Here is a 26,041-nt window from a genome sequence, read left to right on the forward strand (position 1 = left end):
GCCGAGGTGGGCGCCGAGAGCTGGGCGCCACAGCCCGCGCGTCCCGCTGCGCCCCGCGCGCCCCGGGGTCTATGGAGCTGCCCCTCCGCGCCGCCCGGCCGGCCCCACGCCGCGCCCGGAGCCTGCTCTGCGGCCAAGTAATCGGACTGGCGGTCCTGCGGGTAGGGGAAGCTTGCGGGCTGGCAGGAGGGGGACTTCTGGGTCCCAGAGGAATGGGGGGCTGGAACTCCAGTGTCCTGGGGGATAGGGGGTGGGACGAGGGTATCCCGAGCCTGGGGGAAGGGGCGCACGGATGTTTGAGTCCTGGAGAAATCTGGGGTTGGGAGACCTGGACACGGGGGTCTGGGGCATCTGGACACCTGGCTGGGAGGTTTGGGGGCGGCCTGGTTCCTGGGGTTAGGGGGTGTTCTGAACGCCTGGTCCTGGAGGAATGAAGACCTAACTGAAAACGTTAGGGGATCAGGAGACCAGGACACCTGGGCCCCGAGTGTCGGGTCAATCCTGGGGGCGTCCTGGGGCAGAGGCTGCGGCGGCTGCGTCCGGGGCTGGGGCTCGCGCGCCGGGGTCTTCAGGGAGGAAGTTGTGGTCGTGGGGATGTGGCGGTCCGAACACGTGGCGCCATCCCGAGAGGCTGGGGGGATCCCTGGGCAGGACACAGGATGGGGGTCCCTGCCCTCTGCCCCCTGCCTCCTTAGCCCAGCCGGGAAAACAGGGTGCAGATCCGGGGAGTCAGACACCGGGGATGGGCTTGGGGGGCGGGTCCTCGGGGCAGAGGGCTCCGGGGGCTGGGGCGTGCGTGCCTGGCCCGGGAGGCGCCCGCCCCCCGCCCGGCTTGGGCATGCTTGGCACGCAGCGCGCGGGCCGGTTCGATCCGTATGCGCGCCGCGTGCGCCCATTGGTATGCGGGAGCCGGCCCGGCGCGGGCGTGAGGCGGGCGCGCTGGCGGGCGGCGCGGGGGAGGCGGCGGCGGGGCACGTCCTCACCCGGAGCGCCAGCCCCGGGCCGGCTAGGGTGGGAGCTGAGGCCTCCAGGTAGGGGAAACTGAGGCATCATCCAGGCCCCCCCCCCCCCAGCTCCTTGCTGGGACCCTGAGCCCTGCACGGATCTCAGTTTCCCTAGAAGGTCTCCCGAGGGCACTAAGCGTTGCCCCTGGCCCCCTCCCGCTGCAGGAGACTCGGGGCTCGGAGCCCGCCTGAGCGAGCCCCCCGGAGATGGCGGCCCCCTATCCCGGCAGTGGCGGCGGAAGCGAGGTCAAATGCGTGGGAGGCCGCGGCGCCAGCGTCCCCTGGGACTTTCTACCCGGGCTGATGGTCAAGGCGCCGTCCGGACCGTGGTGAGCAAAGCCCCGCCCCCCTGGCCGCGGGCCCCCCCCCGGGTCCAATTCACACCCGATGTTCTGTCCCCGTGCCAAGGGGCAGTTCACACCCAGCTCCCTGACCCGCCCCTTAGGGCTAGAAGGTCTTACCTTGAGTTAACTACCGTCCTGAGCCCGGTCCCCTGCGTTCTGCTTCTAGTCCCGGTCCTCAGAATTCACGCCCAACATCTTTAATCTCTCGCCCTTCCTCCTCCTTCCCACCAGAATTGACACTCGAGGTTCTGTCCCTGGGTCGGAGTGTAAAATCCACACTCCGGTCTGCTCCCACCTCCAGAGATGTGGAATCCACTCCCAACGTCCCGTCCCGTTCCCAAGGCCCCGGGAGGCGGGGCTCGCCCCCAGTTCCCAAGCCCCTGAGCCCCGGGGCCCCGCCGACACCTCCTCCGCGCCGCCCGCCCAGCCTGCAGGCGCAGCGCAAGGAGAAGTCCCGGAACGCGGCGCGCTCGCGGCGCGGGAAGGAGAACCTGGAGTTCTTCGAGCTGGCCAAGCTTCTCCCGCTGCCCGGCGCCATCTCCAGCCAGCTGGACAAGGCTTCCATCGTGCGCCTCAGCGTCACCTACCTCCGCCTGCGCCGGTTCGCCGCGCTGGGGGCGCCGCCCTGGGGGCTGAGAGCCGCGGGGCCGCCAGCTGGCCTCGGTGAGTGCTCATGCGCGGGGCGAGGGTCCCGGGGCCCTCCAGGCGGAGTCACTGCAGCCCAGATCCGGGCTGCGGGCCTGCCCTCGCCCAGATGCTTGTCTCTGGAGTCAGCCAGGACCTTTGCGTGTCCCTATCAGGTGGCTTCTGCTCTCCAAGCCTCAGTTTATTAAACTGTCAAATGGGCGCAAGAGGTTGGGAAGATTTCGTGAATTCTGCCCTAAACAAGGCCCTGGCAGTTCTAGTGGTCACTGGTAAATGCTATTCCTATATTTTTATTAGAGGAGAGGAATCATTATTACAACCAAAGAAACTCCCAGCTGCATGAGCGGGACAGAGGGGACTCACCCTGGCTTGGGACGCCCATTCGCTAATGGGCGAGATACCCTGGATCCAGACCTGAGGGGCCCCGGCGGGAACGCAAGGACTGTACAGTCTGAGCCCCCAGTTGGAGGAGCAAGAGGGAGACAGTATGATGTGGCGGATGAGATGGGGAACTTCAGGAAGATGCCCCAGGGTTCCTGTCGCCGCGCAGCCACCTCCCAGCTTTGCAACCCCGGGCAGGTCGCCTCACTTCTCTGTGCCTTAATGTGAAGTGGGAAAAAACGGTCCAACCTCCCCCAGGGGGCTGAGCAGAGAATCAACCAGGTCATATTTGCAAAGTCCCTGGAAGTGCCTAGCTCAGAGCAAGCCACCGCTATGCGGCCAATGCTGTTATCAGCAGTAACCTTGCAGGGCTGCTGGAGGGGTTCGGGGCATGGAGGAGGGGGCGGGGGGGCTGTCGCTTTTGGAGCATCTCCTGCCTGTCTGGCACTTTTCTGAGCGCTGGGATTGAGCAGGAGAAACAATCTAGACAAAAGTCCCTGCCCCGGAGCGGCTGGCATCCTAGTGGCCAAGACGCAATAAAGAAATAGGCAAAGCAATATAATCTAGAATATGTAAAAATATAAACTCTGTAAGATACAGATAAATATCTAAGTTTATTATTATTACTCAGACTTTATTATTGAGACATAGAAGTGCTGTTATGTTATTATTACTTCTATTTTATGTGTTTGTTACAGCTTTGCGGTGATGAGGATAAGGCAGTGTGAGTGGTGTTTATCTGAAGTCTCAGGGCACCCCAGGCTACCCCTGTCCCCACCCCTCCAGGAGAAGAGGGTGTCCTTAGGGTGGGGTTGGAGGGGCTCCAATTCCCCTCCTGCCCCGTCCCAGGGGAAGAGGGGGGAGAGAAAATAGCATTGATTAAGCTCGCAATAAATCACCATTTAAATTTAAATAATCCGGCTTCCCAGGCGGTAATTAGGCGAATTGACTGGCGCGGAGAGAATGCGGCATTAGCGCCGCTGATTACTGTCATTACCGCGAACAACATGTGCGCCGGCGGGGGATAAACATCTTGTCTATTGTCCCCGAGCTGAAGGGGGGGAAAGGGGGGGCTAAGAGAGCCCCGGCGGCGTCCAGCCCCCCATTACCTGGATGAGCATTCCGGGGCTCAGAGGCATCAGGGGCTGGCTGAGGTCACAGCACTGACGTGGCAGAGCATGGACTTAATCGATCCCACCTCGACCACGGTGCCAAGTGGAAGTAGGGTCAGGACAGTGTGGGGGGGCTTGGTACTGCGTGGACTCCTATAGTCCCAAAACTGGGAAATCGGGGGACAGAGGCATTTCTAGCTCTACAGGGTCCCTAACAAGAGGCGAAGCACCTGCTTCCATAGTTCAGAGGAGGAGCTGAGGACAGCATTTTAGCTGAAGCCACAGAGCAGAGCACTGTCAGTCACACTCTCTGAAGGGGAGGGGACTCCCATGCCCTCCTCAGTAATAAGCCGGGCACCATGGCTCACATCCGTAATCCCAGCACTTTGGGGCGCCAAGGTGGGAGGAAAGCTTTGGGCCAGGAGTTCGAGACCAGCCAGGGCAACATAGCAAAACCCTGGGCAATATAACAAAACCATGTCCCTACAAAAATAAAAATATTGGCTGGGCACGGTGGCTCACACCTGTAATCCCAGCACTTTGGGAGGCCAAGGCGGGCAGATCACGAGGTCAGGAGTTCGAGACCATCCTGGCCAACATGGTAAAATCCCATCTCTACTAAAATACAAAAAATTAGCCGGGCGTGGTGGTGTGTGCCTGTAGTCCCAGCTACTCCGGAGGCTAAGGCAGGGGAATCACTTGAACCCAGGAGGCGGAGATTGCAGTGAGCCGAGATCACACCACTGCACTCCAGACTAGTGACAGAGCAAGACTCCATCTCAAAAAATATATAAAAATAAAAATAAATAAATAAATTAGCCAGGTTTGGTGGCACCCGCCTGTAGTCCCTGATACTGAACAGGATGAGGTGGGAGGACTGCTTGAGCTGAGGAGGTCGAGGCTGCAGTGAGCCATGATCATGCCACTACACTCCAGCCTGGGCAACAGAGCAAGACTCAGTATCTAAAATAATAACAATAATAGTAATCATATAGAATGCATGCATCAGACCCTGGGATAAGCCCTGTATACAAAATGACTTTCTTGGCCGGGTGCGGTGGCTCACGCCTGTAATCTCAGCTCTCAGGGAGGCAAGAGGCGGGAGGATAGCTTGAGCCCAGGAGTTCGAGACCTGCCTCGGCAATATAGCGAGACCCCGTTCTCCAGAAAAAGGAAAAACAACAACAACAACAAAAGATAAAATGACTTTCTTTTTCAGAGGGAGGCACTATTATGATTCCCAAGTTACAGAAGTGTGTGCCCAAGGTCGCACAGCTGGGATTCAAACACAGATGACCTTGCCCCAAAGGCCGCCTCTCAACCATCATATGTGGTCTGTAGGTCTACAGGGATGGGTTCTAGGTCTCTGCCTCTCTGGGCCTCAGTCCTCCATCTGTGAAATGGGACAACAGATGTTCAAGTCTAGCCCTGAGCCTCTGAGTCTGGAGAGGAGACCGCCCAAATCTCATGTCAGCATTCCCTATTGCTTTTTTTTTTTTTTTTTGAAACGCAGTTTTGCTCTTGTTGCCCAGGCTGGAGTGCAGTGTTGCAATCTCTGCTCACTGCAATCTCCGCCTCCTGGGTTCAAGCAATTCTCCTGACTCAGCCTCCCGAGTAGCTGGGATTACAGGCGCCTGCCACCGCGCCTGGCTAATTTTTTGTATTTTTAGTAGAGATGGGGTTTCACCATGTTGGCCAGGCTGGTCTCGAACTCCTGACCTCCTTATCCTCCCAAAGTGCTGGGATTGCAGGCGTGAGGCGCCGTGCCCGGCTTTTACAGCCTTCTTTCTTCCCATAGCACTTATTGTCATCTGACACTCTCTGTATTTATCTTGTTATTTTGTGTCATTCACCAACAGCCTCTTGGTTGCTGAGCCTGGAGTAGCATCTGGGACACAATGAAGGCTTACTAAATTGTTGAGTGACTGTGGCAGTTGAGGGAAGGAGGGGTGACATCTTTATTTATTTATTTATAGACGGAGTTTTGCTCTTGTTGCCCAGGCTGGAGTGCAATGGCATGATCTCGGCTCACTGCAACCTCCTTCTCCTGGGTTCAAGCGATTCTCCTGCTTCAGCCTCCCTAATAGCTGGGATTACAGGCATGCGCCACCACGCCCAGCTAATTTTGTATTTTTAGTAGAGATGGGGTTTCTCCATGTTGGTCAGGCTGGTCTCAAACTCCTGACCTCAGGTGATCCGCCTGCCGCAGCCTCCCAAAGTGCTGGGATTACAGGTGTGAGCCACCGCACCCAGCCCTTTTTAAATTTTTTTGAAACAGGGTCTTGCTCTGTCGCCCAGGCTGGAATGCAGTGGTGCGATCTTGGCTCACTGCAGCCTCCACCTACTAGGCTCAAGAGTTCCTCTCACTTCAGCCTTCCAAGTAGCCAGGACTACAGGCACACGCCACCACGCCTAGCTACTTTTTGCATTTTTTAAGAGACGAGGTCTCACCATGTTGCCCAGGCTGCTCTCACATTCCTGGGATCAAGTGATTTGCCAACCTTGGCCTCCCAAAGTGTTGGGATTACAGGTATGAGCCACTGTGCCCAGCCAAGGGGTGACTTCTTAGCTCATAGGTCAGGCACATCCTCGCTGAGGAAGTAACGTTTTTTTGTTTTTGTTTTTTGTTTTTTTTGAGACAGAGTCTTGCTCTGTCACCCAGGCTGGAGTGCAGTGGTGCGATCTCAGCTCACTGCAACCTCCACTTCCCAGGTTCAAGCGATTCTCCTGCCTCAGCCTCCCAAGTAGCTGGGTTACAAGCACACGCCACCATGCCCAGCTAATTTTTGTATTTTTAGTAGAGACAGGGTTTCGCCACGTTGGCCAGGCTGGTCTTGAACTCCTGACCTCAGGTGATCCATCCACCTCAGCCTCCCAAAGTGCTGGGGTTACAGGTGTAAGCCACTGGGCCCAGCCAAGGAAGTGATCTTTGAGCTGAGGCTCCAAGGAGGTGTGGGAGCAGCTGTGAGAAAAGCTGGAAGAGAGTGACTCAGCAGAGGGAACAGCAGGTGCAAAGGCCCTGAGGCAGGTGGGGATCAGCTTGCTGGGTGCAGAGCCTCATGCACTGTGGTAGGGGTTTGGCTGTTACCCACAGTGAGAGGGGAGCCACAGAGGTGGTGAGGGCGGAAGTAGGAGCCCAGTGAGGATGAGGACGTGGTGGTCCAGCCAGGGCAGCTAGACTGGGCTGGGGCCATGGGTGGTGGAACACAGGTGACATGGTCAGGTCCAACCCCTGGGACTTGCTTAAAATGCATGTGGGTGTGAGAGACACAGAGGGCGGCCTCCAAGAAACCGCCCGAAAAGGCAGTGGTGCCCTGATGTTATCTGTAGTCATACTGAAAAGAAAAGTGCGGCCGGGGCGGTGGCTCACACCTGTAATCCCAGCACTTTGTGAGGCCGAGGCAGGTGGATCACCTGAGGTCAGGAGTTCAAGACAAGCCTGACCAATATGGTGAAACCCCGTCTCAACTAAAAATACAAAAATTAGCCGGGCATGGTGGTGGTGCCTGTACTCCCAGCTACTTGGGAGGATGAGGCAGGAAAATCACGTGAACCAGGAGGCAGAGGTTGCGGTGAGCTGAGATCCTGCCACTGCACTCTAGCCTGGGTGTCAGTGCTAGATGCCGTCTCAAAAAAAAAAAAAAGAGAGAGAGAGAATGGTGGCATGACTCCCAGTATTAGGCACCTACTGTATGCACTAGCCCATTCAACTCTATCACTGTAGACCCATTTTACAGATGAGGCTGAGGAAAGTAAAGGCAAAGGTGACCCGGCACTGCCCCACCCCATGGTGCTTGCCCCCATGCAGCCCTCAGGCCTGCGGCGCTTTGACGATGGGGCATGTGAGGGACCCCTCTCCCCGACTTCCCTGGGTGATGAAGCCCCAGCCTCTTCTCTCCAGGACCCAGGGTCAGCACATTCCTTCAGGGCAGTTGAGAAGGGCAGGTGACGGGGGAGATCTGGGAACTTGGAAGAGGCCTTGGCTTCTGCCTTCTGCCCCTGGATCCCCCTCTCTCTGCCCCAGGTCCCCCCTCTCTCTGCCCCAGGTCCCCCCACACTCTGCACCCGGTTTCCCCCTCTCTCTGCCCCCTGGGTCCCCCTCTCTCTGCGCCTGGTCTCCCTTCTCTCTGCCCCTGGTCTCCCGTCTCTCTGCCCCTGGTCTCCCGTCTCTCTGCCCCTGGTCTCCCATCTCTCTGCCCCTGTTCTCCCTTCTCTCTGCCCCTGGTCTCCTGTCTGTCTGCCCCTGGTCTCCCTTCTCTCTGCCCCTGGTCTCCCGTCTCTCTGCCCCTGGTCTCCCGTCTCTCTGCCCCTGGTCTCCCGTCTGTCTGCCCCTGGTCTCCCTTCTCTCTGCCCCTGGTCTCCTGTCTGTCTGCCCCTGGTCCCCTTCTCTCTGCCCCTGGTCTCCCGTCTCTCTGCTCCTCGTGCTCCCTCTCTGCGCAAGAGATGAGGACACTGAGCAGGCTGTGATAAGAACCACAGCAAGTGTTTGTTAAATGGATGAGTGATGTTTGGGTTCTGGACATGGGAGGGCGGATGTGGAAGTGGTGAAAAGTCTCCTGCTGAATGTGGGGGACAGAGGAGTGGGGACATTTTGAGGGGAGAGGGAGAGGAGGAAACAGCGGGAGGCATCGGGGAGTTGGTGGGATCGGGAGGTGGAGGCTGGGGGTAAAAAGACACATCAGTCAGTGATCAGGAGACTCTGGGGGTCCCTTTCACAGGGGACCGGACCCGTGTATGGGGAAGAGCAGGTCCCCAAGCCCCCCCACCACCACACCCCCTAATCCCGACGTGCCCATTAATGTTGTTAATTGCAGCGGTTCAGTCTGACCCAGGCTGATCCTGGGAGAGGGAAAATGAAGGAATTAGCAAAAATGACAGGGGAAAATTGCGACAATTAGCAGGCAGCATTGTTCCTGCCTGTCACCCGGCTGGTTCCGAGCTGTATCTTGAGGGAGGGGGTCCCCGTCAACCCCCCAGCCCCCCAGTAATTGTTCCTGGAGCTCCAGGCGGAGGTGGAGGCAGGGAGGAACAGCCAGGAGGGTGTGGGGTACTCCTGGGAGGAGGAAGCTCAGCCCAGACACTAGGGGGCTGGGGAGGCGGGGGCTGCGCGCCCATGGGGGAGGGGCGGGGTTTCGCCGCCTGGTGTTTTGATGGTCGGGTAATAACAATAGTAATCACACTATTAATACCAGTCCCGGCTCTGTGCTGCAGCATCTGCTTCTGCCAGGCCCCAGCCAGGCCCTTCTGTCTGTTAAGTGGACTGAATGCGTAACCAGCCTGGGGAGTCACCGCTCCTGGCAAACCCGCTTGACAGAGGAGGAAACTGAGGCACAGAGCGGCAGAGAGGCTGGTCCCAGGGCACACAGCCAGGGAGGGGAAGCGCTGGGGCCTGACAGGAGACCTGGCCCCTTAGCCCCATAGGAAAAAGGCACTTGGGGACCCTCAAGGTCACCAAGTCTCTCCCCTGGCTCCCCACTCTCAGCACTGGGTTGGAGCTCCCTCGGGGGTTGTCCTCTGCAGGGTCAGGGTCACCCAGGGGTCCTGGGTGGGGACAGGCTCCGGGACCCCCAGGTCTCTGCCTACCCCCAGCACAAGGTCCAGGGTCCTAGCTCCTGACTGTAGGGAGGATGGGGCAGGGGGCACAGGTCTCACTTTGTCTTGGTCTCAGTTGCCATCTCTGTCTCTCTCTGCATCTCTTTTCCTCTGTCTCTCCATGTCTATTTTTTTTTTTAGTTTTTGTTTGTTTGTTTGTTTTTGTTTTTATTTTTGTTTTTTTGAGATGGAGTCTTGCTCTTGCTGCCCAGGCTGGAGTGCAATGGCACAATCTCGGCTCACTGCAACCTCTGCCTCCCGGGTTCAAGTGATTCTCCTGCCTCAGCCTCCAGAGTAGCTGGGACTACAGGTGCACACCACCACGCCCGGCTAGTTTTTCTGTAGTTTTAGTAGAGACAGGGTTTCACTATGTTGGCCAGGAAGGTCTCGAACTCCTGACCTCAGGTGATCTGCCCACCTCAGCCTCTCAAAGTGCTGAGATTATAGGCGTGAGCCACTGCACCCGGCCTTAGTATTTTTATTTATTATTATTATTATTATTGAGATGCAGTTTCACTCTTGTTGCCCAGGCTGGAGTGCAGTGGTGGGATCTCAGCTCACTGCAACCTCCACGTCCCGGGTTCAAGCAATTCTCCCTCCTCAGCCTCCCGAATAGCTGGGACCACAGGCACATGCTACCACACCCAGCTAATTTTTTGTATTTTTGGTAGAGACAAAGTTTCACCATGTTGGCCAGGCTGGTCTTGAACTCCTGGCCTCAGGTGATCCACCCACCTCCGCCTCCCAAAGCACTGAGATTACAGGTGTGAGCCACAGTGCCCGGCCTCCCCATTTTATTTACTCATTCATGAGTTGGACATTTGTGTGCTTTCCACCTTTTGAATGATGTGAAGTATGCTGCTATGAACACGCATGTACATGCTACAACGCCTGTTTTCAATTCTTTTGATTACATAGATTACATACACAGAAGTGGATTTGCTAACTCGTATGATAATTCCATGTTAACTTATTGAGAAACCGTCAAATTGTTTTCCACAGTGGCTGTACAATTTTACATTCCCACCAGCAATGTATGAGGGTTCCAATTTCACCACATCCTTACCAACACTTACTTTCTGTGTTTTTTGTTTTGTTTTGTTTTTGTTTTTGTTTGTTTGTTTTTTGAGATGGAGTCTCGCTCTGTCACCCAGGATGGAGTGCAGTGGTGTGATCTCAGCTCACTGCAAGCTCCACCTCCTGGGTTCAAGGGATTCTCCTGCCTCAGCCGCCTAAGTAGCTGGGATTATAGGTGCACGCCACCACGCCCAGCTAATTTTTATATTTTTAGTAGAGATAAGATTTCACCATGTTGGCCAGGCTGGTCTCAAACTCCTGACCTTGTGATCCACCCGCCTCGGCCTCCCAAAGTGCTGGGATTACAGGCATGAGCCACGGCGCCTGGCCACTTTCTACTTTTTTGATGCTAGCCATCCTAGCGGGTGTGGAGTGGTGTCTCATAGTGGTTTTGATTTTCATTTTCCTAGTGACTAATGATGTTGGGCATCTTTTCATGTGCTTATTGGCCATTTGTGTATCTTCTTTGGAGAAGTATCTATTCAAGTCCTTTGCCCATTTTTAAAAATATATTTTTTGTAGAGATGGGGGTCTCACTGCATTGCCCAGGCTGGTCTTGATCTCTTGGGTTCAAGCAATCCTCCCACCTCAGCCTCCCAAAGTGCTGAGATCACAGGTATGAGCCACCGTGCCTGGCCCTTTGCCTTTTTTTTTTTTTTTTTTTTTTTTTTTTTTTGTCTGAGACAGAGTCTCACTCTGTCGCCCAGGCTGCAATGCAATGGCCCTAACTCAGCTCACTGCAACCTCTGCCTCTGGGTTCAAGCGATTTATCCTGCCTCAGCCTCCCGAGTAGCTGGAATTATAGGCACCCGCCATCATGCCCAGCTAATTTTTGTAGAGATGGGGTTTCATAATGTTGGCTGGTCTCGAACTCCTGACCTCAGGTGATCCACCCACCTTGGCCTCCCAGAGTGTTGGGATTACAGGCGTGAGCCACCACACTGGGCCCCTTTGCCCATTTTTGAATTGTCTTTTTGTTGTTGAGTTGTAGAATCTCTATCTCTTTCTATTCCTTTATATCCCTCTGTCTCTGTCTTTCAGTCTCCTCTCTGCCTCCTTCTCATCCTTCAGGTCTGCTCAAATGTCCCCTCCTTCAACAGCCCTAACTCCATTACTCTCCATTTTGCACCACCTATTTCATTCTCCATAGCACTGGCCACAAAGGGTAATTCCATATTTGTTAGTTTCTTTGTGTGTGTGTGTTTTTTTTTTTTTTTTTTTTAAACAGACGGAGTCTCACTTTGTTGCCCAGGCTGCAGTGCAGTGGCGCGATCTTGACTCACTGCAACCTCCGCTTCCCAGGTTCAAGCGATCCTCCTACCTAGCCTCCTAAATAGCTGGAATTACAGGCCCACGCCACCATGCCCAGCTAATTTTTTTGTGTTTTTAGTAGGGACGGTTTCACCATGTTGCCCAGGCTGGTCTCAAACTCCTGACCTCAAGTGATCTACCCTCCTCGGCCTCCCAAAGTGCTTGGATTATAGGCATGAGCCACCTCGCCCAGCCTGTTGGTTTCTTTTCTTTCTCTCTTTTTTCTTTCTTTCTTTTTTTTTTTTTGAGATGGAGTCTCGCACTGTCATCCAGGCTGGAGTGCAGTGGCATGATCTCGGCTCACTGCAACCTCTGCCTCCCGGTTTCAAGCGATTCTCCTGCCTCAACCTCCCGAGTAGCCAGGACTACAGGCGCCCACCTCCACACCCGGCTAATTTTTGTATTTTCAGTAGAGATGGGGATCCAACATATTGGCCAGGCTGGTCTCGAACCCCTGACCTTGTGATCTGCCTGCCTCAGCCTCCCAAAGTGCTGGGATTACAGGTGTGAGCCACCTCGCCCAGCCTGTTGGTTTCTTATTTATTTATTTTTATGGGATCCCTAAGCAGAGATGTTAGTTTCTTGCTTGCTGTTCAACTGCCCCTGGTCTGAGAGCCCAGCAGGAGGCAGGGGTTGCTGGGCTGTCCTGGTCACCGTTGCACTCCCAGCAATGCCTAGTGCAGGACATAGGGAGGGTAGGTATTCAGGGAGCTTTTGTGAGTGAATGGGTGGATGAATGAATGAGTCCCTCTATGCACCCCCTGGCCCGTCTGTCTCTGTGAGTCAGTCTGTCACTCACTGTCCCACCCACCTGTGTGTCCCACGCCCCAGGTCTCTCCCCCATGGGTGCCCAGATACCCCAAGATGTCTACAAGCCTTAGGGGAAGAGAGGGAGGTTTGTAGACTGGCTCCCGGGGGACCTGCCCTGGGCAGGGTCAGCCAGACTAACAGGCTTCATCCTTCCATCTGCCCCAGCCCCAGGCCGCCGCGGCCCCGCAGCGCTGGTCTCCGAAGTCTTCGAGCAGCACCTGGGAGGTCACATCTTGCAGGTGAGTGAGGCCCCTTCCCTGCCTGCCGCTCCTTGCTACCACCTAGCGGCCGCCTCTGGAGAACAGCAGCCTCTTCAGCATCCATCTATTGTGGGGGGTACCTGGACTGGGAAGGCGAATGCTCAAGATCCCTCCACTCCCTGCCCCTTCCGAGGACCACTGAAGCCCCCTCCCCACCAAAACAGTCCACCTCAGGTGGAGACCCAGGTTTCAGAACCTCTTACCACTTGGCGGCTGGACAGAGGGACACCGGGTCCTCTCCTTCCCCCTCCCTGTCTCTCCCGGCTCTAGTCCCTGGATGGCTTTGTGTTCGCCTTGAACCAGGAAGGAAAATTCCTCTACATCTCAGAGACAGTCTCCATCTATCTGGGTCTCTCACAGGTAAGGGACCCCCAGTGGACCTGGATTGGCTCAGCCACCATCTCCCTTGCCAGGCCTATGCATATCCTTCCTCTCTCCTGGTCTCACCATAGCAGCAAGAAAAATGGACTGGATCTCTGTGGTCCCCAAAGTGTGTTCCTTGGCACCCCACATGGCACCCAGCATGGTTCATCCTTGAAGGCAGAGGAGGGCTATTGTTTTTTGTTTGTTTGTTTGTTTGTTTTTGAGACGGAGTCTCGCTCTATCACCCAGGCTGGAGTGCAGTGGTGCGATCTTCGCTCAGTGCAACCTCCACCTCCCGGGTTCAAACAATTCTCCTGCCTCAGCCTCCTGAGTAGCTGGGACTACAGGCGCCCACCACACCCGGCTAACTTTTTGTATTTTTAGTAAAGATGGGGTTTCACCATGTTAGCCAGGATGGTTGAGATCTCCTGACCTCGTGATCCACCTGCCTCGGCCTCCCAAAGTGCTAGGATTACAGTGTGAGCCACTGTCCTGGCTGATGAGGGCTATTTTTTTTTTTTTGAGTTGGAGTTTCCCTCTTGTTGCCCAGGCTGGAGTGCAATGGTACGATCTCAGCTCACTGCAACCTCTGCCTCCTGGGTTCAAGCGATTCTCCTGCCTCAGCCTCCCGAGTAGCTGGGATTACAGACATGCACCACCACGCCTAGCTAACTTTGTATTTTTTAAATAGAGACAGGGTTTCTTCATGTTGGTCAGGCTTGTCTTGAACTCTCAATCTCAGGCAATCCGCCTGCCTCAGCCTCCCAAAGTGCTGGGATTACAGCGTGAGCCACCGCGCCCAGCCTGAGGGGGCTATTAAAGTAACAAGTAGATCTGAGGAAAGCAGGTTCACTGAAAGATCAGTTTGCCAATGACTGGCGGGCCAGATGCACCATATTTGCCAACACTTGTTTCTTCTTAACAATTTTAAAGGTTTAGAGGCCACCCACGCTGGCTCATGCCTGTAATCCCAACACTTTGGGAGGCTGAGCCAGGAGGATCACCTGAGGCCAGGAATTCAAAACCAGCCTGGGCAACATAGTGAGACACCCCACCACCCCCACCCCCACCATCTCTACAAAAAAACTTAAAAATTAGCCAGGCATGGTGGCACACTGTTGTCCCAGCTACTCAGGAGGTTGAGATGGGAGGATCGCTTGAGCCCATAGGGTCAAGGTGGCAGTGAGCCATGATGAAGCCACTGCACTCCAACATGGACAACAAAGTGAGGCTATGCCTTAAAAAAAAAAAAAAAAAAAAAAAAAAAAAAAAAAAAAAAAAAAAAAGGGCCGGGCGCGGTGGCTCACGCCTGTAATCCCAGCACTTTGGGAGGCCGAGGCAGGCAAATCACCTGAGGTTGGGAATTCAAGACCAGCCTGACCAACATGGAGAAACCCCGTCTCTCTACTAAAAAACAAAAAATACAAAATTAGCCAGGCGTGGTGGCAGACACCTGTAATCCCAGCTACTCGGGAGGCTGAGGCAAGATAATCACTTGAACCCAGGAAGTGGAGGGTACAGTGAGCCGAGATCGTGGCATTGCACTCCAGCCTGGGCAACAAGAGCAAAACTCCGTCTCAAAAAAAAAAAAAAAAAAAGGGCAGGAAGACCTACTGAAAGCCCCATCCTTGGAGCCCTGGCATCTCACAGCACCTTAAGCTTTGCCAGTCCCTCCAATACAAATTGCTATCAACTTTGATCATTTTTACAAATATTTTTCACAAATAGGAAATTTAGGAAATTCAGTGCATTGGCAACTTGTGAGTACCTTTTCAGTGAGATTCCTGGAGGAGGAAGACACCAAAAGGAGGGGAATTTGGACAAGAGGACGGGAGGGAGGAAGAGTGGAGGAAAAGCTTGGCCAGGTGTGGTGGCTCACGCCTGTAATCCCAGCACTTTGGGAGGCAAAAGCAGGCAGATCACCTGAGGTCAGGAGTTCGAGACCAACCTGGGCAACATGGCGAAACCCAGTCTCTACTAAAAATACAAAATTAGCCGGGTGTGCTGGCAGATGCCTATAGTCCCAGCTACTCCAGAGGCTGAGGCAGAAGAATCACTTGAACCCAGGAGGCAGAGGTTGCAGTGAGCCAAGATTGCACCATTGCACTCCAGCCTGGGCAACGAGAGCAAAACCCCATCTCAAAAACAAAACAAAACAAAAAAAGTCCAGGCGCGGTGGCTCATGCCCGTAAACCCAGCACTTTGGGAGGCTGAGGCGGGCAGATCACCTGAGGTCGGGAGTTTGAGACCAGCCTGACCAACATGGAGAAACCCCGTCTGTACTAAAAATACAAAATTAGCCAGGTGTGTTGGCACATGCCTGTAATCCCAGCTTCTTGGGAGGCCGAGGCGGGAGAATTGCTTGAACCTGGGAGGCAGAGGTCACGGTGAGCCGAGATCGCGCCATTGCACTCCAGCCTGGGCAACAAGAGCAAAACTCCGTCTAAAAAAATAAAAAGAAGAAGAAGAAGAAGAAGAAGAAGAAGGAAAGGCTTGAAGCTGTTGAAGCTGGCGTGGGGGAGGATTTAATGAGGGGGCGGAGCCCAGAGGGATAACGGACTGAGGGAAGCATGTGACCTCCAAGCTGAGGGGCAATGGGAGTCATGGCAGCCATGGTGGTCAGGTAAGTAACTTGCAGAGGCATCTTTGAACTGTAGGTCAGAAGACCAGTGAGGACGCGGGGGCAGAAACACAGTGGGGAGAAGATGGGGGCCTGCATTGAGGGAGGCAGGGAGAGAAGGGGACTGCTAGGAGAGAGATTTACGGGTAGAATTGAATGTAAAAGTGTCTGATTGAAAAGCTCTAACTCTTTAAGAGCTTAAAAACCACTCCCCTGTTTGTATCTTGAATCTCATTCCTGCTGGGACACCCAGTGATTCATGCCAGGGCACAGTTGTTTGCTGTATGGGGGTGGTAGTGAGTAAGCAGGAGTTGGGTAAACGGAGGTTCTGACACCTCCCACCCACGCCCCACTCCCACACACAGCCCCTTAATAGAGTGGGCGGGGAAAAATCCTTACTAATCACTGGGTATGAAGCGAGAAGAGTCTAAGTTTGTATCTTCCGTTTGAAAGGTAATTGTTTTTTGTTTTTTTCTTTTCTTAAAAAAACACACTGGCATGAAGCGCACCTGCGTGCAGGCAAATGAGGCAAGGCTGAGCCCAGAGGGCGAGCGAGTTACTGCGCGCGCACCTCACCCGCCCCCTGCATTCCCCTCCTTCGCCGGCAGGTGGAGATGACGGGCAGCAGCGTCTTCGACTACATTCACCCTGGGGACCACTCAGAGGTGCTGGAGCAACTGGGGCTGCGGACGCCGACGCCCGGCCCCCCAACCCCGCCCTCCGTCTCCTCTTCCTCCTCCTCTTCCTCTTCGCTTGCAGATACCCCCGAGATCGGTAATTCTAAGGGCTCCTAAAGAATGAAGTCTGAGGGTAGATCGGGGGACGCCCGCTGTACTGTATCCAGCCATGCCGCGTTTATACAAATAGCAGTGAAGTTAGAACTGTGTAGAACGAATCTTTGCAAAAGGAATCGGAGTATAAATTGAGGCGGTGAGACTTGGTTCCTTAAGCTTGCCAAACTCCCAAAGATTCGAGCTACAGAAAGACCCCCCTGGCTGCTGAAAGGAGTTGGGAGAGGCTTAGGTAAATAACAAGGCAGGCTTATTGGGAATATACACCGGCTGTGTCTGTAAGTGCACAATCACATTACATAATTACGTTAGGGCCGGGCGCGGCGGCTCGCGCCTGTAACCCCGGCACTTCGGGAGGCCCAGGGGGGCGGATCACTTGAGCTCGGTTGGAGACCAGCCTGGGCAACATAGTGAAACCTCATCTCTACAAAAATTACAAAAAAGGCCAGGAGTGGTGGCACAAAGCTGTAGCCCCAGCACTTTGGGAGGCCGAGGCGGGTGGGTCACCTAAAGTCAGGAGTTTGAGACCAGCCTGGCTTGCATAGTGAAACCCCATCTCTACTAAAAATACAAAAAAAAAAAAAAAATTAGCTGGGTATGGTGGGGGGTGCCTGAGTCCCAGCTACTCGGGAGGCTGAGGCAGAAGGATCACTTGAACCCAGGAGATGGATGTTGCAGTGAGCAGAGATTGTGCCACTGCACTCCAGCCTGGGCGAGTCCAAGACTGTCTCCAAAAAAAACAACAACAACAAAAGAAAGAAAAAAACATTAGCTGGGCATGATGACACATGCCAGTGGTCCCAGCTACTTGGGAGGTGGGAGGATGGCTTGAGCCTTGGGGACAGAGGTTGCAGTGAGGAGATCACGTTGCTGCACTCCAGCCCGGGTGACAGAGCCAGTGTCTGGAAAAAAAAAAAAAAAAAGGCTGGGTGCGGTGGCTCACGCCTGTAATCCCAGCACTTTGGGAGGCCGAAGTGGGCGGATCACCTGAGGTCGGGAGTTCGAGACCAGCCTGGCCAGCATGGTGAAACCCCATCTCTACTAAAAATACAAAAATTAGCCGGGCGTGGTGCAGGTGCCTGTGATCCCAGATACTCAGGATGCTGAGGCAGGAGAATCGCTTGAACCTGGGAGGTGGAGGTTGCACTGAGCCGAGATCAGGCCATTGCACTCTGAGTGAGACTCCGTCTCCAAAAAAAAAAAAAAAAAAAAAAAAAAAAAATTGCATTAGATCCTAAGCGCAGGCCCACAATGCAAGAAGTGTTATCTCCATTTTACATCAGAAAACTGAGGCACGGCGCGGAGAGGTTAAGTTAATTGCCCCCAGGTCACACAGCTATAAGTGATTGAGTTGGATTCTAGCCCAGGTCTGTCTGTTCCGGGGTCAGCACGCCTAACCCTTCTCTCCAGTGGAAATTTCCACTCCCACTGTGTATGGGAGGGAGGGTGCTGCAGATTACCCTGCCGGCTCTTTTTAGCTCTGAGATGTTGGGGGCCTATGAGGCTAACTATCCTGTAAATAGGATTTTCCAATCTTGGGTTTGCTTAACACCAAAAACATCTGAGACATCAGCTGTGCTTGCAAGCGTGGGGCGAAGTCTGCAACACGTGCAGGCTGTTGGGGAGTGGGACTGTGTTTGTACCTGAGTTTTAGGCACAGGGTCATCTGTGTGTGAGCATATTTTTAAGACCGTTTTGTAGGGGTTACAGAAGGATCTGGATTTGTGAGTCTTATTTATTGCTATTCCCCAATCCCCTGTTCTGGGCCAGCCCCTGTCCTGGTGACATAGGAGTGACCATGACAGCTCCAGCCCCACCCACCTGGGGCTCCCAGTCCAGTGAGGGGAGACCAACCTGTCCTCAGACAGTGGCAACCCAGATGGGGCAGGGCTGGGATAGGGGAACCCAGAGGGGATGGCTGACCCAGCCTGAGGGTCAGGGAGGGCTTCTTGGAGGAGGAGAAGTCTGTGCTGAGACCTGGAGGATGGGTCCTGAGAGGTGGGCTTTCCTCTCAAGGCCTCAGGAAGCTATGGCAGGTTCAGAGCAGGGGAGGGTGGAGGCACGTTTGAGCATTAGAAAGACGTAGATGGGGCCAGGCGCAGTGGCTCACGCCTGTAATCCCAGCACTTTGGGAGGCCGAGGCGGCCAGATCACGAGGTCAAGAGATTGAGACCATCCTGGCCAACATGGCGATACCCCGTCTCTACTAAAAATACAAAAACTAGCTGGGCATGATGGCGCGTGCCTGTAATTCCAGCTACTCAGGAAGCTGAGGCAGGAGAATCACTTGAACTGGGGAGACGGAGGTCGCAGTAGGCCGAGATCGTGCCACTGCACTCTAGCCTGGTGACAGAGCGAGACTCCAGCTCAAAAAAAAAAAAAAAAAAGACATGGATGGGACCAGACATGGTGGCTCACACATGTAATCGTAGCACCTTGGGAGGCCAAGGAGGGCAGATCCCTTGAAGTCAGGAGTTCAAAACCAGCCTGGCCAACATGGCAAAACCCCGTCTCTACTAAAAATACAAAAATTAGTCGGGCATGGTAGCATGTGCCTGTAATCCCAGCTACTTGGGAGGCTGAGGCAGAAGAATCACTTGAACCCAGGAGGCGGAGGTTGCAGTGAGCCAAGATTGCGCCATTCACTCCAGCCTGGACAACAGAGTGATATTCAGTCTCAAAAAAAAAAAGAAAGGATGCGGATGGCTGCCACATAGGGGAGCCCACATACTGTCCCCATGAGCTTTCAAAATCATCAGGCATGCCTCTGAGTGCGGCCGTGGCCCAGCGGACATCTTGTGTCTATGTCCGGCTGGCTCTGCAAGGGTCAGGGTGGCCTGTGTGTTTCCTCTTCAGGACCCCATAACCTTCCTTCACTCTCTGTCCCAGAGGCCAGCCTCACCAAGGTGCCCCCCTCCTCCCTGGTCCAGGAGCGCTCCTTCTTTGTCCGCATGAAATCCACGCTCACCAAGAGGGGGCTGCACGTCAAGGCCTCAGGGTACAAGGTGGGTGTGAGCAGTCAGGCTCCTGTATTCCAGGCAGCCATGTCCCCAGATTGAGGGTGACCGAGGGAACCAGGCTGGTGGCTTCACTGGCTGCAGGTGGCTTAGGGAACTGGGTCTGGGAATGGGACTGGGGGGGTCACACAGTGTCCAGTCCTCCAGCACCTGTGGGGGACAGAGGGAACCCAGCCCAGTGATGGTCCTCTTGCCCCCACTGGCCCGCCTTGTCCCTCCTCCAACCATGCCCACCACCAGCAGGTCATCCACGTGACTGGGCGCCTTCGGGCCCACGCCCTGGGCCTTGTGGCCCTCGGGCACACGTTGCCCCCGGCCCCCCTGGCTGAGCTGCCACTCCATGGACACATGATCGTCTTCCGTCTCAGCCTGGGTCTCACCATCCTTGCTTGTGAGAGCAGGTACCGGGGTTGGGGGCTGTGGCGGGTGGATTGGGGGCACAATGGAGATCTGGGGGTACATGGGGAGTCAGAGGGAGTGCTGGGTCTGCAGGATAGGGCACTGGGGAGCCATGGGAGGCGGAACAGCAATGGATGGGACAGGGTGATGGGGAGAAGGGAGGGAAGGCAGGGGACCAGGGCGGAGGCCTAGCCCAGGGGTGCCTTCGGGGATGGAAGAGGGGCTGTGTCTTGGGTCCGGGCCCTCCTTCTGGGGCTGCAGATCTTGGCCCGTCTCTGGTCTTTCATTTCTCATTTCTCTGGTCTTTCATCTCTCATCCATTTCCTCTCCTGCATCCCGCAGTGGAGGCAAATTAAGTGCTGAAATAGTCCCATGCTCTGAGGTGTCCAGGGTGCCTAGGGCCTTGCCACTAGCATCCACGCGAATACTCGCAGCTGCCCCGGGAGAGACACTGTTTTGTGGTTTGTTTGTTTGTTTGTTTTGAGATGGAGTCTCACTCTGTCAGGCTGGAGTGCAGTGGCGCAATCTCAGCTCACTGCAACCTCCACCTCCCGGGTTCAAGTGATTCTCTTGCCTCAGCCTCTCAAGTAGCTGGGATTATAGGCGTGCACCACCACAACCAGCTAATTTTTGTATTTTTAGTAGAGACGGGGTTTCACCATCTTAGGCAGGCTGGTCTCGAACTCCTGACCTCAAGTGATCCACACGCCTCAGCCTCCCAAAGTGCTGGGATTACAGGTGTGAGCCACCGCGCCTGCCAACACTGTTATTGCACCCATTTTACAGCAAGGGTGTGAACCCCAGGGGACTCTGGAGCCAACTCTGCCTCTCCCCCAACCCCGTGGTCTTGGACTCCTCCCCTCTTCTCTGTCACCCCCCAGAGTCAGCGACCACATGGACCTGGGGCCCTCAGAGCTGGTGGGCCGCAGCTGCTACCAGTTTGTCCACGGACAGGACGCCACGAGGATCCGCCAGAGCCACGTGGACTGTGAGACCCACCTCCACCCACCAAGCCTGCCTACCACCCCCCAGACCCGAGCATCCCACTCCCTGGTCCCTGGAAGTCCTTCTTCAGGGCTGCCCACAGTCCCTCCTGCTGCACCTACAGCTCCAGGGACTCCGTTTAGCATTGGAAGAGCAGCAAGGAGACTGAGTGATGCCTCAGGATGTGTGTGTGGGGGGGGGGTCTGGGGGGCTGTGGGGTCTCCAAAACACCCAAGAGGCCTCGCTGCTGGGCTACCTCTCAGTCTCTCTGACTCTGCCTCTCTGTGCTTTCACCTTTTTCTCTTCTCCCCACCGTCTCCCTGCCCACTCCCCTGCTCTCACTCCTCCTGTCTCCTCCTGTCTACCTGGCTCTCTGTCTTGCCCCTGTCCCCACCCCACCCCCTTCCCATCTCTCCCTGGGCTGGGCCCAGTGCTGGACAAGGGTCAGGTGATGACTGGTTACTACCGTTGGCTGCAGCGTGCCGGGGGCTTCGTGTGGCTGCAGTCTGTGGCCACAGTGGCTGGGAGCGGGAAGAGCCCCGGGGAGCACCATGTGCTTTGGGTCAGCCACGTGCTCAGGTGAGGGCTGTGCCCACCCCTCCTGCAGGGCACTCAGGGCCCTGCTGTCTCTCCCCACCTCCAGTGGGGGTGCTTTGGGGAGGGCTTCTAGAATGGGACAAGCCCAGGGGGTCTGCAGACACGAAGGGGAAGGAGGGGAGGATGGTGAGAGCAGAGGCCCAGAGTGGAACGGTCTTGCTGGCAGGAGACAGAGAGGAGTCGCCAGGGGGAGGGGGACAGTATCTTTGAGGAAGGCAGGGGCAGGCTCACAGCCTCCTCAGGCTCAGGTGGAGGGTCTGGACTCTTGACTCTGGGGCACTGGCGAGCCACGGCAGGCTCTTACCAGGGGAGGCCCACAGAGCACAGCAACTAATGGAAAGAAGCAGGGAGGGGTGTTCCAAGCAGAGGAAGGGCTCCAAGCAACAGCCTGACCCTAAAGGTAATGCCTTGGGCTGGAGTAGAAAGCAGTGAGAAACCAGCCTGAAGATGACGGCCTGGCCTTTTGGCTCAGGGGCACTGGGGAGTCATAGAAAGCTTTAGAGCTGGAGAGGATCATAGTCAGATCTGCTTTTTAGAAAGACTGCTCTAGACCGGACATGGTGGCTCATGCCTGTAATCCCAACAATTTGGGAGGCCAAGGCAGGTGGTTTGCCTGAGCCCAGGAGCTGAAGACCAGCCTGGGCAACCAAGTGAGGTCCCATCTCTATTAAAAAAAAATTTTTTTAATTGGCCCGTTACAGTGGCACGCACCTGTGGTCCCAGCTACAGCAGAGGCTGAGGTGGGAGGATCACCTGAGCCCAGGAGGTCGAGGCTGCAGTGAGCCGTGATCGTGCCACTGCTCTCCAGCCTGGGCGACAGAGTGAGACCCTGTCTCAAAAAAAAAAAAAAAAAAAAAAAAAAAAGGAAAAAACACCCTTCTAGGCCAGGCACAGTGGCTCACGCCTGGAATCCCAGCACTTTGGGAGGCCGAGGTGGGTGGATCACGAGGTCAGGAGTTGAAGACCAGCCTGGCCAAGACAGTGAAACCTCATCTCTACTAAAAATTTAAAAAAAATTAGCTGGGCATAGTGGTGCACGCCTGTAATCCCAGCTACTCGGGAGGCTGAAGCAGGAGAATTACTTGAACCCGGGAGGTGGAGGTTGCAGTGAGCCAAGATCATGCCACTGCACTCCAGCCTGGGCAACACAGTGAGACTCCATCTCAAAAACAAGCAAGCAAACAAAAAAACCCTTCTAGCTGCCATGAAGGAGGCACTGAGGGACAAGATGGGCGCTGGAGGACCAGGGCAGAGGCTGGGGCCAGTCCTGGGAAGTGCCAGACTCTATGGGGGAGGAGGGGAGGAGACCATCTTCTGCCCAGGTCTCTGGCTTTGCTGAGCCCGGATTTGGGCTCCTGAGAGGAACAGCAGGTTTGAAAGGAAGATGTAGACATCAGATGGGCATGAGGTGCCAGAGGACACCCAGGTGGTGACATCCAGGTGGCCACCGGCTATCCAGGTCTGGCCTTAGGAGCGAGGGCCACGCTGGGCTAGAAGTCAACCCGGAGTTTAGGGATCTGGTGTTGAGCCTTGTAAGTGCCTCAGGGTGGGGACTCCACATTTCCCCGTGGGAGTGTCCACACATTGCCACAAGTTGGGTAAAGCAGGAGGGAGTCCTGAGAGGCCAAGGACCCCTGGCTCCTAACCGCATCCATCTTCTCCCCAGCCAAGCCGAGGGTGGCCAAACTCCTTTGGATGCCTTCCAGCTTCCAGCCAGCGTGGCCTGTGAGGAGGCATCCAGCCCGGGGCCAGAGCCCACAGGTGAGCCCCACCTCCCACCTTGGCCCCTGGGAAGCTCCAAGGAACCTTTGGGTCCTGGCTGTCCATTCCAGAAGCCACTAGCCACATGCAGCCATTTATATACAATTAAAATTAAAATCCAGGCCGGTGCGGTGGCTCACGCCTGTAATCCCAGCACTTTGGGAGGCCGAGGCAGGTGGATCACGAGGTCAAGAGATCAAGACCAACATGGTGAAACCTTGTCTCTACTAAAAATACAAAAATTAGCTGGGCGTGGTGGCATGCGCCTGTAATCCCAGCTACTTGAAAGGCTGAGGCAGGAGAATCGCTTGAACCCGGGAGGCGGAGATTGCACCACTGCACTCCAGCCTAGCGACAGAGCGAGACTCTGTCTCAAAAAAAAAAAAAAAAAAATTTAAATCCAGGCCAGGAGTGGTGACTCAAGCCTGTAATCCCAGTACTTTGGGAGGCCGAGGCAGGCAGATCACCAGGTCAGGAGATGGAGACCATCCTGGCTAATAAGGTGAAACCCCATCTCTACTAAAAATACAAAAAAATTAGCTGGACATGGTGCCATGCTCCTGTAATCCCAACTACTCGGGAGGCTAAGGCAGGAGAATCGCTTGAACCCGGAGGGCAGAGGTTGCAGTGAGCCGAGATCATGCCACTGCACTCCAGTCTAGGTGACAGAGCAAGATTTAAAACAAAACAAACAAACAAAAAATTAGCTGGGCATGGTGGCACGTGCCTGTAGTCCCAGCTACTCAGGAGGCTGAGGCAGGAGAGTCGCTTCTACCCAGGAGTCAGAGGTTGCAGTGAGCTGAGATCTCACCGCTGCACTCCAGCCTGGGTGACAGAGTGAGACTCCATCTCAAAAAAATAAAATAAAATAAAATCCAGGCCCGGTGTGGTGGCTTATGCCTGTAAACCCAGAACTTTGGGAGGCTGAGGTAAGAGAATTGCTTTAGCCTAAGAGTTCAAGACAAGCCTGGGCAACATAGTGAGACCCCATCTCAACAAAAAATTTTAAAACTTAGCCAGGTGTGATGGTTCACACCCATAGTCCCAGCTACTCGGGAGGCTGAGGTGGTAGGATTTCTTGAGCCCGGGAGTTAGAGGCTGCAGTGCGCTGTGACAGCTGTACTGCACTCCAGCCTGGGTGACGGGGTAAGACCTCGTCTCAAACAAATTTATTTATTTTTTTAGGGGGATGGAGTTTCACTCTTCTTGCCCAGGTTGGAGTGCAATAGCACAATCTCGGCTCACTGCAACCTCCGCCTCCCGGGTTCAAGTGATTCTCCTGCCTCAGCCTCCCAAGTAGCTGGGATTACAGGCACCTACCACCATGCCTGGCTAATTTAGTATTTTTAGTAGAGACAGTGTTTTGCCACGTTGGCCAGGCTGGTCTCGAACTCCTGACCTCAAGTGATTCTCCTGCCTGGGCCTCCCAAAGTGCTGGGATTACAGGCATGAGCCACCATGCCCTGCAAAACAAAACAAAACAAAAAACACTTTAAATCCATGTCCTCACTCACACCTGCCACATATTGCATGCACAGTGGCCACATGTGGCCAGTGGCTGCTTCGTGGGACAGTGTGGATGTAGAACATTTCCATTACCACAGAAAGCTCTATCCTGGAAACTTCCACTGAAGAGCACAGGTCTAGACCAGGGTATCTTGATCTCTGCTCTACTGACATTTTAGGGCCAGGTGATTCTGTGTTGGAGGGGACACTGTGGGATGTTTATTTTACAGCATCCCTGGCCTCTACCCTCTAGATGCCAATGGTGACCTCCCCAGGGCTGTGACACCCCAAAATATCTCCAGATATTGCCAGGTGTCTCCTGGTGACAGAACCAGCTGGCCGGGCACAGTGGCTCACGCCTGTAATCCCAGCACTTTGGGAGGCTGAGGCAGGCAGATCACCTGAGGTCAGGAGTTTGAGACCAGTCTGGCCAACATGGCGACACCCCATCTCTACTTAAAATAGAAAAATTAGCTGGGTGTGGTGGCACACACCTGTAATCCCAGCTACTGGGGAGGCTGAGGCAGGAGAATAGCTTGAACCCCAGAGGCGGAGGTTGCAGTGAGCTGAGATGGTGCTGGTGCACTCCAGCCTGGGGGACAGAGCAAGACTCCGTCTCACAAAAAAACAAAAAACAAAAACAAAACAAACAAACAAAAAAAAAAACCCCACTCCCAGCTGAGAACTACAGGTCTGGCCCACTAAGCACAGCTCCATTCCACAGATGGGAAGACTGAGGGCTGGGGACACACACAGGCCCTCAGCATCTTCCTCTTCCAGAGCCGGAGCCTCCGACGGAAGGGAAGCAGGCTGCCCCAGCGGAGAACGAGGCCCCCCAGACCCAGGGCAAACGCATCAAAGTGGAGCCCGGCCCGAGGGAAACCAAAGGCTCCGAGGACAGTGGCGACGAGGATCCCTCCAGCCACCCGGCCACACCGAGGCCCGAGTTCACCTCTGTCATCCGGGCAGGGGTCCTGAAGCAGGATCCGGTGCGGCCATGGGGCCTGGCGCCTCCCGGGGACCCCCCGCCCACCCTCCTGCACGCGGGCTTCCTGCCGCCGGTGGTGCGGGGCCTGTGCACACCCGGCACCATCCGCTACGGCCCCGCGGAGCTGGGCCTGGTGTACCCGCACCTGCAGAGGCTGGGTCCGGGCCCCGCGCTCCCGGAGGCCTTTTACCCGCCCCTGGGCCTGCCCTACCCGGGGCCCGCGGGCACCAGGCTGCCGCGGAAGGGGGACTGAGGACTGGCAGAGCTGCCGGCGCCGGACCCTGCGACAACCGGGGTCCCCCAGGACAGTAGGCCCGGCTCTGCCCGTAGCCCTGAGAATTAAACGCCGGCTCTCCCTGCAGTGGTTTGGGCTCCGGGCTGTGAGCTCCTCTGTCCATTTCTGTCTCCCCCGGGTCCTCACCCCCCTCTCCCTCCACCCGCCCTCCTGCCTCTCCAGTTAGTCCGCTCCTCGCCGCCCT

General features: G+C 55.4%; 1 protein-coding gene across 13 annotated transcripts, besides 2 other annotated features; it reads left to right on the forward strand.

Annotated features, from left to right (window-relative positions):
• On the forward strand, nucleotides 1-25,939 carry NPAS1 (neuronal PAS domain protein 1). Of its 13 annotated transcripts, none has more exons than XM_047438882.1 (12): nucleotides 1-161; nucleotides 1,170-1,333; nucleotides 1,776-2,011; nucleotides 12,442-12,515; nucleotides 12,807-12,896; nucleotides 16,128-16,293; nucleotides 19,200-19,315; nucleotides 19,568-19,728; nucleotides 20,608-20,714; nucleotides 21,142-21,289; nucleotides 22,974-23,068; nucleotides 25,355-25,939. In XM_047438882.1, the coding sequence occupies exons 2-12, from the start codon at nucleotides 1,212-1,214 to the stop codon at nucleotides 25,813-25,815; spliced, it is 1,776 nt and encodes a 591-aa protein (XP_047294838.1). In that variant the 5' UTR covers nucleotides 1-161; nucleotides 1,170-1,211; the 3' UTR covers nucleotides 25,816-25,939. The 13 variants fall into 13 exon arrangements, with proteins under 13 accessions (XP_047294838.1, XP_047294837.1, NP_002508.2 ...); XM_047438881.1 differs by having other exon boundaries at nucleotides 19,571-19,728; nucleotides 20,608-20,894; NM_002517.4 differs by having other exon boundaries at nucleotides 19,571-19,728.
• Nucleotides 10,873-10,974: a silencer, noted in NCBI's record as "fragment chr19:47533967-47534068 (GRCh37/hg19 assembly coordinates)". NCBI's record gives its function as "represses an EF-1alpha promoter that drives an FKBP-Casp9 reporter gene in an ReSE screen in phorbol 12-myristate 13-acetate-treated (for megakaryocytic differentiation) K562 erythroleukemia cells {active_cell/tissue: K562(+PMA)}" and the evidence as "EXISTENCE:reporter gene assay evidence [ECO:0000049][PMID:32094911]".
• Nucleotides 11,899-12,400: an enhancer, noted in NCBI's record as "H3K4me1 hESC enhancer chr19:47534993-47535494 (GRCh37/hg19 assembly coordinates)". NCBI's record gives its function as "activates a minimal SCP1, AML or CMV promoter by ChIP-STARR-seq in naive H9 embryonic stem cells {active_cell/tissue: H9 hESC(naive)}" and the evidence as "EXISTENCE:reporter gene assay evidence [ECO:0000049][PMID:30033119]".
• Nucleotides 25,940-26,041: the final 102 nt, after the last annotated feature.

Source organism: Homo sapiens, chromosome 19 (genome assembly GCF_000001405.40).
Source record: "Homo sapiens chromosome 19, GRCh38.p14 Primary Assembly".
Taxonomy (NCBI): Eukaryota; Metazoa; Chordata; class Mammalia; order Primates; family Hominidae; genus Homo; species Homo sapiens.